General features: G+C 37.2%; 2 pseudogenes; one reads left to right on the forward strand and one right to left on the reverse strand.

Moving 5' to 3' along the window:
- Positions 981 to 1,074, reverse strand: RNY4P29 (RNY4 pseudogene 29; annotated as a pseudogene).
- CTAGE16P (CTAGE family member 16, pseudogene) lies at positions 1,938 to 4,468 on the forward strand (annotated as a pseudogene).
- Positions 4,469 to 13,756: the final 9,288 nt, after the last annotated feature.

Raw genomic sequence — 13,756 nt, forward strand, 5'->3', positions numbered from 1 at the left:
TTTTTCGTTTGAAATATTGCTGATTCTTTTTGTTTTGTTTTTCAGAGTCTGGAGAATTTTTTTCTTTGGAGCTTTTTATTGCCTCTGAGTATACTTTAAGTATATTGAATACAGTATGCTTTCCTCAAACAGAATTTGAGGCATAGTTCTCTCTATGCCTAACTTATCCAGAATTTGTAAATTATTTGTGAATATTCTTAATTCATGGCAATGTGTTTGTTTGCATAAGTTCAATAAGAATCTATTTTATTTTACACTGTGACACAGGTGGATGAACTGGCTATTTTCCCAGGTCTTTGACTGAAATGGCCTTGTGAGAGGTTCCAGCAAGGCCAATTTAGGAGAGCCTATGTGGACAGCAATTCTTGCTGCACTTTGTGGGATAATCAGGCCACGTTTATGGGACTCCAGCTTATTTTGCGGGTAGATTTGTCTCGCTGAGATTTGTCTTTGGTGGAAGTAGGGGACTGGAAAAAGAAAGATTGTTTCAGAAGAAAAGGATAGTATTAGATTAACCTTTGATTCCTGGGGGGCCACATAGCCACCCATGGTATGAGGCTGCCCAGGATGCCCCTCCTCAATATGAAGCATCCAGAATGATCAACAAGATTCCCCATGAATGAGGAATTGATATTTATGTACCTGGTATATGATTCTTTTTTTAAGATGGGGTCTCTGTCTATCGCCCAGACTGGAATGCAGTGGTGCTATCTTGGCTCACTGCAACCTCTGCCTCCTGGTCCAAGTGATTCTCCTGCCTCAGCCTCCTGAGTAGCTGGGATTACAGGTGTGTGCCACCATGCCTGACTAATTTTGTGTTTTTAATAGAGATGTGGTTTCAGTATATTGGCCAGGCTGGTCTTGAAATCCTGACCTCAAGTGATCTGGCTGCCTCAGCCTCCCAAAGTGCTGGGATTACATTCGTGAGTTACTGCACCCAGCCTATTTAAAAAAAAAAAAAAACAAGCCCAAAAACCTATAAACCATTTAAATTTAGCAGTGGAGGGTTTTATACCAACTTTAGTGACACTAAATGTTAATAAGTTCTGATAACCCACTATCATTGGACCAACCTGTACTATAATTTTTGTCATTATTTTAGAGCGTATGGTTAGAAGTTAACCGTAAAACAGCCTCAGGCAGGTCCCTCAGGAGGTATCCAAAAGTGGGCATTGTTATCATAGGAGGCGACAGCTCCATGCCTGTTATTGCCCCTGAAGACCTTCCAGTGGGACAAGATGTGGGGATGGAAGACAGTGATATTGATAATCCTGACCCTGTGTAGGCTGAGGCTAACGTGTGTGTCTATGTCTTGGTTTTTTTAACAAAAAACTATTAAAAAGTAAAAAAAAAAGAAAAATTTAATTAAAAAAGCTTATAAAATGAGGATATAAAGAAGACATTTTTGTACAGCTGTACAATATGTTTGTGTTGTAAGTGAAGTGTTATTACAAAAAAGTAAAAAAGTTAAAAAAAGTTTAAACATTTATAAAGTTTAAAAGTTACAGTAAGCTAAGGTTAATTTATTATTGGAGAAAACAATTTTAATTAATTAGTGTAGCTTAAGTGTGCAGCGCTTGTGAAGTCTGCAGTAGTGTATAGTAGTGCCCTAGGCCTTCACATTCACTCACCACTTACTAACTCACCCACAGCAATTTCCAATCTTGCAAGCTCCATTTATTTATGGTAAGTACTCTATACAAGCATATCTTTAAAAAAAATTTTATACTATATTTTTACTGTACCTTTTCTATGGGCCTGTGAGGTCTGTGCGTTCCCGCGTCCCCCAGCTCCCCCCGCAGCCGGCTCCTCAGTGGTCCGCTCTGGTTGCCAGGTGCAGATTCTGTTCCTAACTGAAAGCTGAGTGTTCTCCGCAGCTTATTGTGGCCCCGACAAGCCTGGGTAACTGCGGCCATCGCCAGAGCAGCCTTGGCGCTATGGAGGCGCCCAGGGCTACCCCTCAGCCTTACTGGGGGCTGGTCCTGGAGGAGCCACGCAGGGTTATGGCAGCACTGACTGAAGGCAGGAGACCAGATTCGAATCCTTATGGATTACCATGGGAATTGGTGATATGTGCCGCTGTCGTTGGATTTTTTGCTGTTCCCTTTTTCTTGTGGAGAAGTTTTAGATCGGTTAGGAGTCGGCTTTATGTGGGAAGAGAGAAAAAGCTTGCTGTAGCACTTTCTGGACTAATTGAAGAAAAATGTAGACTACTTGAAAAATTTAGCCTTGTTCAAAAAGAGTATGAAAGCTATGAAATAGAGTCATCTTTAGACGATTCCAGCTTTGAGAAGGAGGCAACAGAAGCACAGAGTTTGGAGGCAACCTGTGAAAAGCTGAGCAGGTCCAATTCTGAACTGGAGCATGAAATACCCTGTCTAGAAAAGGAGTTAAAAGAAGAGAAATCTAAACATTCTGAACAAGATGAGGTGATGGCGGATATTTCCAAAAGGATACAGTCTCTAGAAGATGAGTCAAAATCCCTCAAATCCCATGTAGCTGAAGCCAAAATGACCTTCAAGAGATTTCAAATGAATGAAGAAAGAATGAAGATAGGAATACAATATGCTTTAAATGAAAATTCTCAACTTCAGGAAAGCCAGAAACAGCTTTTGCAAGAAGCTGAAGCATGGAAAGAACAAGTGAGTGAACTTAATAAACAACAGAAAATAACATTTGAAGACTCCAAAGTACACGCAGAACAAGTTCTAAATGATAAAGAAAATCACATCAAGACTCTGACTGAACGCTTGCTAAAGATCACAAAGATCAGGCTGCTGTGCTGGAAGAAGACATAACAGATGATGGTAACTTGGAATTAGAAATGAACAGTGAATCAGAAGATGGTGCTTACGTAGATAATCCTCCAAAAGGAGCTTTGAAGAAACTGCTTCATGCTGCTAAGTTAAATGCTTCTTTAACAACCTTAGAAGGAGAAAGAAACCAAATTTATATTCAGTTATCTGAAGTTGATAAAACCAAGGAAGAGCTTAGAGGGCATATTAAAAATCTTCAGACGGAACAAGTATCTTTGCAGTTGGAAAACACACATTTTGAAAGTGAGAATCAGAAGCTTCAACAGAAACTTAAGGTAATGACAGAATTATATCAAGAAAATGAAATGAAACTCTACAGGAAATTAATAGTAGAGGAAAATAACCGGCTAGAGAAAGAGAAACTTTCTAAAGTAGATGAAATGATCAGCCATGCTGCTGAAGAGCTGGAGACCTGCAGAAAGCAAGCAAACGATCTTGAAGAAGAATTTCAGAGAAGTATTCATGTTTATCAAGGGAAGATTATATACCATTAGAAAGAAGCACACGATAATTGTTTGGCAGCATGGACTGCTGAAAGAAACCTTGACGATTTAAGGAAAGAAAATGCTCACAACAGACAAAAATGAGCTGAAACAGAGTTTACAATTAAACTTTTAGAAAAAGATCCTTATGCACTTGATGTTCCAAATACAGCATTTGGCAGAGAGCATTCCTCATATGGTCCCTCACCATTGGGTCGGCCTTCATCTGAAATGAGAGCTTTTCTCTATCTTCCATCTTTGTTGGAGGGTCCACTGAGACTCTCACCTTTGCTTCCAGGGGGAGGAGGAAGAGGCCCAAGAGGCCCAGGGAATCCTCTGGACCACCAGATTACCAAGGAAAGAGGAGAATCAAGCTGTGATAGGTTTACCGATCCTCACAGGGCTCCTTCTGACACTGGGTTCCTGTCACCTCCATGGGAACAGGACTGTAGGATGATGTCTCCTCCACCAGGACAATCATATCCTGATTCAGCTCTTCCTCCACAAAGGCAAGACAGATTTTATTCTAATTATGCTAGACGCTCTGGACCAGCAGAACTCAGAAGTTTTAATAAGCCTCCTTTGGATAAAATGGATGGGTCAATGCCTTCAGAAATGGAATCCAGTAGAAATGATACCAAAGATAATCTTGGTAATTTAAATGTGGCTGATTCATCTCTCCCTGCTGGAAATGAAGTGACTGGCCCTGGCTTTGTTCCTCCACCTCTTGCTCCAATCAGAGGTCCATTGTTTCCAGTGGATATGAGGGGCCCGTTCATGAGAAGAGGACCTCCTTTTCCTCCACCTCCTCCAGGAACCATGTTTGGAGCTTCTCCAGATTATTTTCCACCAAGGGATGTCCCAGGTCCACCACGTGCTTCCATTTGCAATGAGAAATGTCTATCCACCGAGGGGTTTTCCTCCTTACCTTCCCCTAAGACCTGGATTTCCCCCCACCACCCCCACATTCTGAAGATAGAGTGAGTTCCCTTCAGGGTTGAGTCTGCCTTCAAATGAGCCTGCTGCTGAAGATCCAGAACCACAGCAAGAAACCTGACAATATTTTTGCTCTCTTCAAAAGTCATTTTGACTGTTCTCATTTTCAGTGATTACACTTTTGCTCAAATTGAAACTTAATAGAATTATAATTCTCGGGATAGTATTTTGTAAATAAGGATGATTTAAATATGAATCTTATGTGTAAATTATTTCCATTTTATTTTATTCTAGATAGTATAACTATTTTAATTTGGTTAACTAATCCACTATTATATAAACAATAGTGGGAGTTTTATATATGTAATCTTGCAGGTGGGGAGGCTTTACATTTTAAAGGCCATGGCATTTAAAGAACTGTATTTACTGTGATTGTAGACAAATGTGAAATTAACTTTATGCTTAATTAAATAAATTTTAGTTGATTTAAAAAAAATATATAGGTTGCATTATTCTTCAGGTATGGAGAGACCAACAGAACAAGAGTCAATTGCCACTGAAAAGATAGTTTGTTACTCACAGATCCCAAGAGAAAGGAAAGTACTATTCCATGCAGGACCAAATAGGGAGACAGTATGGTCAGCGAGAAGGCAGGAGTGATGGAAAAAGATGGGCAAGAGCCTTTACGGTGGTTTCCATGGGAAGGAATAAGTGAGGCAAGATGAGCAGGGTTAAGGTTAGCTATTTTAGTTTGAGTAATTTCAGCAAGCTCTGGTTATAGGGGCTGTCCCTAGTTGTCTGGTACCTGGCTCTGGAGTGCTCAGGGCAGAGGAGTAGTGGCCTAGAGTGTGTGAGTCCTGTGGAAGCCTGATGAAATAGGTAATTGGGGGCATGAGCTCTGGACTGGTTAGTTTGTTTGTGAAAAGCACTCTCATGCGCAAGTTATTTACTGTCTCTAGGAATTGGCTAACCCTGGGAGGGACAGGCCTGCCAAGGTCAGCAAGGCCCTAGATGTCGAAACGTCAGAATACATAAAAAGACATGGTTAATATGGTATCAGAGCCTCTGTCTTCACGTGGCCTCTCATGAAGGGCTCTAGAGTGAGTTCCCTTAGGGGATGTCAAAGGTCGTTCAAGACAGCAGAAGCCACAAGGCAATGTAAAGCCTTAGTAATATCTAAAAGAAGATATTCCTCCTGATATCATGGTGGGTGTACACCCTGTGATATTATTTGTAATATCTAAAAGAAGATATTAGGAGTAATATCTCCCTTAGATATTATAAATCATATTTTCAAAGGATGTACACCTCTGTGATATTGGAGAAATACCTCCCTTAGAAATTACAAATCATATCATCACAGGGTGTACCCCCACTGTGATATTAGGAGTAATGTGTCTGGAATTGCTGGATTCTTGGTCTCACTGACTTCAAGAATGAAGCTGTGGACCCACGCGGTGAGTGTTACAGTTCCTTTTTTTTGTTGTTGTTCTTTTTTATTTTATTTTATTATTATTATACTTTAAGTTTTAGGGTACATGTGCACAACGTGCAGGTTAGTTACATATGTATACATGTGCCATGCTGGTGTGCTGCACCCATTAACTTGTCATTTAGCATTAGGTATATCTCCTAATGCTATCCCTCCCCCCTCCCCCCACCCCACAACAGTCCCCAGAGTGTGATGTTCCCCTTCCTGTGTCCATGTGTTCTCATTGTTCAATTCCCACCTATGAGTGAGAACATGCGGTGTTTGGTTTTTTGTCCTTGCGATAGTTTACTGAGAATGATGGTTTCCAATTTCATCCATGTCCCTACAAAGGACATGAACTAACCATTTTTTATGGCTGCATAGTATTCCATGATGTATATGTGCCACATTTTCTTAATCTAGTCTATCATTGTTGGACATTTGGGTTGGTTCCAAGTCTTTGCTATTGTGAATAGTGCCACAATAAACATACGTGTGCATGTGTCTTTATAGCAGCATGATTTATATTCCTTTGGGTATATACCCAGTAATGAGATGGCTGGGTCAAATGGTAATTCTAGTTCTAGATCCCTGAGGAATCACCACACTGACTTCCACAATGGTTGAACTAGTTTACAGTCCCACCAACAGTGTAAAAGTGTTCCTATTTCTCCACATCCTCTCCAGCACCTGTTGTTTCCTGACTTTTTAATGATTGCCATTCTAACTGGTGTGAGATGGTATCTCATTGTGGTTTTGATTTGCATTTCTCTGATGGCCAGTGATGGTGAGCATTTTCCCATGTGTTTTTTGGCTACATAAATGTCTTCTTTTTGAGAAGTGTCTGTTCATGTCCTTCACCCACTTTTTGATGGGGTTGTTTGTTGTTTTCTTGTAAATTTGTTTGAGTTCATTGTAGATTCTGGATATTAGCCCTTTGTCAGATGAGTAGGTTGCGAAAATTTCCTCCCATTTTGTAGGTTGCCCGTTCACTCTGATTGTAGTGTTACAGTTCTTAAAGGCGGCGTGTCTGGAGTTTGTCCCTTCTGATGTTCAGATGTGTTCAGAGTTTCTTCCTTCTGGTGGGTTCGTGGTCTCACTGGCTTCAGGAGTGAAGCTGCGGACCTTCGCGGTGAGTGTTATGGCTCATAAAGGCAGTGTGGACCCAAAGAGTGAGCAGCAGCAAGATTTATTGCAAAGAGTGAAAGAACAAAGCTTCTTTGTATACATATGTAACTAACCTGCAGGTTGTGCACATGTACCCTAAAACTTAAAGTATATTAAAAAAAAAAAGGCTATTTTAGGGAAGTAACTTTTGGATAAATTTCAAGTTCTATACATTTATTTCACTTGAGCATCTTTGAATTCTTAGGTACTGTTAGGTAATAAGTATAGAAACATAAATAAAAAAATGCTCTTTGGATAATGATTTTTTCTGCATATTTGAATTACCAACAGACACATACATGTACAAACACACACACACACACACACACACACTCTCTCTCATGTATACAGCAACAAATGATCCTCAGTCAAGAGCTGTAGTTTAATCATGAACCACTTTGGGATATAATTTTAATGCATAATCTTCTAGTAGATGCAAAAACATTGCCTAAGTATAATACAAGATTTTGATTAGTAGTTTGATTTTTAATGTAATGATTTAATTTTTTTTATCTTCTCTGTTACCTTTTGTCATTGCTTGATTAATATGTGGCTTCTAATGCCAAGCTAAGATTCTACTTTCCAAGATAATTGAATTAGAAACTTAGTTTCTTCAACACTGCTGAAATAGAAGAATTTGGTTGTTCAGTTATATTCAGAGTACAAGGCATAAAACACCAACATTAAAAAAAAAAAAGGGCCAGGCGCGGTGGCTCATGCCTCTAATCTCAGCACTTTGGGAGGCGGAGGTGGAGGCGGAGGCAGGCGGATCATGAGGTCAGGAGATCGAGACCATCCTGGCTAACACGGTGAAACCCTGTCTCTACTAAAAATACAAAAAAATTAGCTGGGCGTGGTGGCAGGTGCCTGTAGTCCCGGCTACTCGAGAGGCTGAGGCAGGAGAATGGCATGAACCTGGCAGGCGGAGCTTGCAGTGAGCTGAGATCGCACCACTGCACTTCAGCCTGGGTGACAGAGCGAGACTCCGTATCAAAAAAAAAAAAAAAAAAAAAATTAGCCGGGAGTGGTGGTGGGCACCTGTAGTCCCAGCTATTTGGGAGGCTGAGGCAGGACAATCACTTGAACCTGGGAGGCAGAAGTTTCAGTGAGCTGAATCACACCATTGCTCTCCAGCCTAGGTGACAGAGTGAGATTCTGTCTCAAAAAAAAAAAAAAAATTATATAAAGGTAAAGCCATAGGGTAGAGATAGGCTTGTGCAATTTAATATTAATCTATAAAATGTATTTAAGAAACTAAATATTATTACACATACAGCTTATCCTTTCTTTAAAATTTGTATATATGTATGTATAGAAGAAAATATGTGTTCATTTTAACTCATCGGAGAATTGAAAACAAGTATGCATGTATATGTAAATATGCATATATATTATATTTATGCATGATTTATATAATTATGTAGACTTTTCCAAATCAGAGATAACCTTGAATAATATATTCATAACTATATACACATACGTACACACATGCACACATTCATTCACCACCACACATTATGGTCTACATAATGACCTCTATATGGCGAGAAAAAGAGATTGAATATGTTATTAAGATGGTTCATGTTTTTCTTCTGGATGATTTTCAGCTGTATATGTTTCATTGCCTTGAGTTTTTATTTTGAAAAGGCCAGTCACTAGGGAGGGATTGAGACCCTATTTCATAAGGGAAAATTTTTATCATTATTGACCTGCTCATGGAGAAAGAGCAGCCAGAGGGGAGAAAAACATACACACACACACACACACACACACACACACACACACACACACTGTGTTGCATGACACACTTTTACTTTACAGGAACTTCTTTCTCAGTGATCAATTTTTTTGTATCTTGTAGAATTATGATTTGCATGTTGCCTCTTCAATATGTGTCAAGCAATCAATGTAGCACTGCTATTTCTTCCACACCCTTCAGTTGTTTAGTGTCACCATGACCATGCACTCTTTAATTTTCAAATTGAATCTGGATTTCTTCCAGAGACCCCTTAAGGAAACTGATTTCTGAATGTAAGTGGCTTACGCTGTGCATGATTTTTGCAACTGATGCTGTGGCAACCTCATATGGTTGGAGTAAAAACCTGATGGCATCTTTGCCAGATGCTAAGTTTCAGGATAGACATGTTTTCATTAACTCTTTAATGAATATTATAATTTCTCATTTGAATGTTCTAATTTTCACCCCACTAATTTTAATAAATTAAGAGTTGATTGTGGATTTTGGTTAGAACAAGTAATCTTCAATTTTCTGCCAATGTTGTAATTTATACTTTTAAATATGACTGTTTATTTGTATAATTAGATTTTGGTCATGTATTTCATAAAAACAGGCACTCAGTAGCTAAAGAAACTTTAAAATTATAAACAATTACTCTTGCAAAAATAAATCATTCACCCAGAATGATAGATTCTTTCTGCTTAAGAAGATGGTTTACTTAATAGACAATTTCTTCCTTTGATATTTTCTAATAATAAAGTAAAACAAAAATGTATTTTTTAGTCAGTAACTGAAAAAATGTATAGCACTTTGGAACTGAATGTGTGGTACCTTGGGTCATCAAAGCATTATTAATCATCTTTTAGCAATTTCTAAACAGGTTTAATGCAATGAATATTGTTTTGAATTTCACCTAAATTGAAGATACTATTTTTTCTTTTTAAAATAATTTCAACTTTTGCTTTAGATTGTACAGTGATTGTACAGTGAATGCATGTACAAGTTTGTTAAAGGGGTATATAGGATGAGGTTTTCGGTAAAAATGATTCCATCACCTAGTAGTGAGTATAGTACCCAAAAGGTAATTTTTCAGCTTTTGCCCTATTCCTTCTCTCCCTTCTCTAGTAATCTCCAGTGTCTATTGTTGCCATCTTTATATCCATACATACCCAATGTTTAACTCCCACTTATAAATGAGAACATATGGTATTTGGTTTTCTGAGCATGCATTAATTCACTTAGGATGTTGGCCTCCAGCTGTATCCATGTCACTGCAAAGGACAAGATTTTGTTCGTTTTTTATGGCTGTGTAGTATTCTATGGTGTATATATACCACATTTTCTTTATCCAATTCACAATAGATGGGCACCTAGGTTGATTCCATGCCATTGCCACTGTGAATAGTGCTATAATGACTATAAGAGTGCATGTGTCTTTTTTGTATAATGATTTATTTTCCTTTGGGGATATACCCAGTAGTGGAATTACCAAGTTGAATGATAATTCTATTTTAATTTCTTTGAGAAATTGCCAAGCTGCTTTCCACATTAGCCAAACTAATTTACGTTGCCACCAACATTGTATAAACATTCTCTTCTCTCCACAGCCTTGCCAGCATCTTACAGCCTTTGATTTTTTTTTTTAATAGTAGCTATTTTGACTGGTATGAGATGGTATCTCATTGTAGTTTTGATTTGCATTTCCTTGCTGCTTTATAATGTTGAAAATTTTTTCATGTTTGTTGGCTGCTTGTATGTCTTCTTGTTGAAGTGCCTTTCCATGTCCTTTGCCCATTTTTTAATGGAGTTATTTTTTGCTTGCTGATTGGTTTAAGTTTAGTATAAATTTTGGATATTAGATCTTTATCAGGTGCATAATTTTCAAGTATTTTTCTCCCATTCTGTGGGTTGTCTGTTTACTCTGTTGATAGTTTCTTTTGCTGGGCAAAAGCTCTTTAATTAGGCCCTACTTGTTAACTTTGTTTTGTTGCAATTGTTTTTGAGGACTTAGTTAGTCATAAATTCTCTGCCAAGGCCAAGAACGGTATCGTTCAGAATGGTATTTCCTAGGTTATCTTCTAGGATTTGTATAGTTTGAGATTTTACATTTAGATCTTTAATCTATCTTCAATTAAATTTTGTATATAGTAAAAGGTAGTGGTCCAGTTGTATTTTTCTGCATATGGCTAGCCAGTTATCCCAGCACCATTTATTAAATAAGAACTCCTTTCTTCAGTGCTTAATTTTGTTGACTTTGTTGAAGATCAGATGGTCATAAGTGCATGGCTTTATTCCTGGTTTCTCTATTCTGTTCAATTGGTCTATGTGTCCGTTTTGTACCAGGCTGTTTTGGTTACTATAGCCTTATAATATAGTTTGAAGTCAGGTAATGTGATTCCTCTGGCTTTGTGTTTTTGGTTACAGTTGCCTTGGCTATCCAGGCTCTTTTTTTGGTTTCATATTAATTTTAGAGTAGTTTTTTCCTAATTCTATGAAAAATGACACTGGTATTTTGATAGAAACAACATTGAATCTGTAGATTGCTTTTGGCCGTATGAGAATTTTAACTATTTTTTTAAATAATTTGTTTTCTTTTTCTATTTTTTTTCAAAATGCACATTATATATGTAAACCAAAAAGTATCTGAGAAGTTTCAGTCAATTTGGAAACTTATTTTGCCAAGGTTACAGACAGGCCTAGGACACAGATCTATGACTTTCTCGAAAGAAGAGTTTGAGGACTTCAATATTTAAAGGGGAAAAGTAGGCTGGAGGAGAAAGAGGCAGGGTAGGATGGGGGTAAGGTCACACTACTGAATTCACATGTTGCTAGATAAAAAGGAGTAGGGAGAGGAATAGTCACTTATGTATTCATCTCACAGGCAGTAAATCAGCATTTTACATAAGGTAAATGTAGAGCAGCTACCTGTGGAAATATTTAACCTTTTATCTGTGGCTACCTATCTATTTAGGAACAAAGCTAAAGGCAGTTTCTTGTATGACTCAGCTTTCAGCTTAATTTTTTTACTTTTGGCGTGGCAAATTGGAGTCCCAAGTTTTTATTTTCTCTTTAAAATATTTTAAAAATTGTTTTATTTTATTTTTAAAATCTTTCAGAGAAAGCATTTTAGAAGAAAATGAGTCTCTGTTCTTGGGTTTTGTCTGGTTTCTCATGGCTAGGACAATTTATTCTTAGATGAATAGGTCCCACGTTGTTAGGAAAGCTCATTTTTAGCAGGTTGTGAAGTTCCCGTCCTGCAAAGAAAAAATTGAGGGAGGAAGAGAGAAAGAAAACAGAGGAAAAAGAGGAGTAAATAACAAAAAAAAAAAAAAGAGAGAGAGAGAGAACAATCCTGGAAAATTGATATAGGCCATGTAACTCTGAGATGAACTACTAGGAACTTAAACAAATTTACAAGAAAAAAACAACCCCATCAAAAAATGGGCAAAGTATATGAACAGACACTTCTTATAAAGAAGACATTTATGCAGCCAACAAATATATGAAAAAAAAGCTCAGCATCACTGATCATTAGAGAAATGCAAATCAAAACCACAATGAGATACTATCTCACACCAGTCAGAAGGGCAATTATGAAAAAATCAAGAAACAATAGATGCTGGTGAGGCTATGAAGAAATAGGAACCCTTTTACACTGTTGATGGGAACATAAATTATTTCAACCATTATGGAAGACAGTGTGGCAATTCCTCAAGGATCTAGAACCAGAAATACCATTTGACTCAGCAATCTCATTACTGGATATATACCCAAAGGAATATAAATCATTCTACTATAAAGACACATGCAGACATATGTTTATTGCAGCACTATTTACAATACCAAAGACATTTGGAACCAACCAAAATGTCCATCAATAATTGACTGGATAAAGAAAATGCAGTGCATATACACCATGGAATACTATGCAGCCATAAAAAGGAATGAGATCATGTGCTTTGCAGAGACATGGATGAAGCTGGAAGCCATTATCCTCAGCAAACTAACACAGGAATAGAAAACTAAACACCACATGTTCTCACTGGTAAGTGGGAGTTGAACAATGAGAACACATGGACACAGGGAAGGAAACAACACACACAGGGACCTGTCAGTGGGCGGGAGTGAGGGGAGGGAGAGCATTACAACAAATAGCTAATGCATGCAGGGCTTAAGACCTACGTGATGGGTTGATAGGTTCAGCAAACCACCATAGCACACGTATACCTATGTAACAAACCTACACATTCTGCACTTGTATCTCAAAACTTAAAGTTTAAACAACAACAACAACAACAACAAAAAACCACAAAGAAAAAAAGAAATGTCCTAATTAATTAAAAAACGCTTCAAAAATATATTTAAACTAAATAAAGTTAAACCATGTTCTCATACATTTCTGTTAAAAATGTAAATTGGCACACACAAATTTTGGGAAAGTGTATTAGCAATATGAAAGTGAAACCGTAAAAATGTTCATTGTCTTGAACATTATTTTTGATTCTGTAAATTACCCTAATAAAAAATCCAACAATTAGTAAAATGCTGTATGACATAGGTATTTGTAAAAGTGAGATCAATGAAAAATAAAAATTGAAAGCAACCTAAATGTTTGAACCAAAGGACTAAATTAAGGAAACTTTTAAATAAACTTAGAACATGAGACAGATCATGAGAATAAAGGCTCTGAAGATGTACAGATGTTTATCAATACATTTAGTTTAAAATCAAGACATACCCATATATATACACACATATATATGTGTATATATATGTATTATGTTCACAATCATAAAATTACAGTAGGAGAAATTTTTTAAAATAGTGGAAATATATCTGAATATTTAATATTGGGTTACATTAGATGGCTAATTGGGTTAATTATCCAAGTATATCTTTTTTTTTGTTAATACAGTTTTTATTTTCTAATTTGGTAAATTTAGTTCAATATTAATATCTCATTACCTTTTTATATAAAAGATATAAATAATAAATGCCAACCTAGCTTTAAATGGACATAAAAATATACTAAATATGTTATATCAAGGCTTCTATGTGCTGGTCTGTCTTTTTCTTTCTTTCTTTCTCTCTCTCTCTCTCTCTTTCTTTCCTTTCTTTCTTTTGGATTCTTGCTCTGTCGCCCAGG

The sequence above is a fragment of the Homo sapiens genome, chromosome 13, assembly GCF_000001405.40.
Source record: "Homo sapiens chromosome 13, GRCh38.p14 Primary Assembly".
Lineage (NCBI taxonomy): Eukaryota > Metazoa > Chordata > Mammalia > Primates > Hominidae > Homo > Homo sapiens.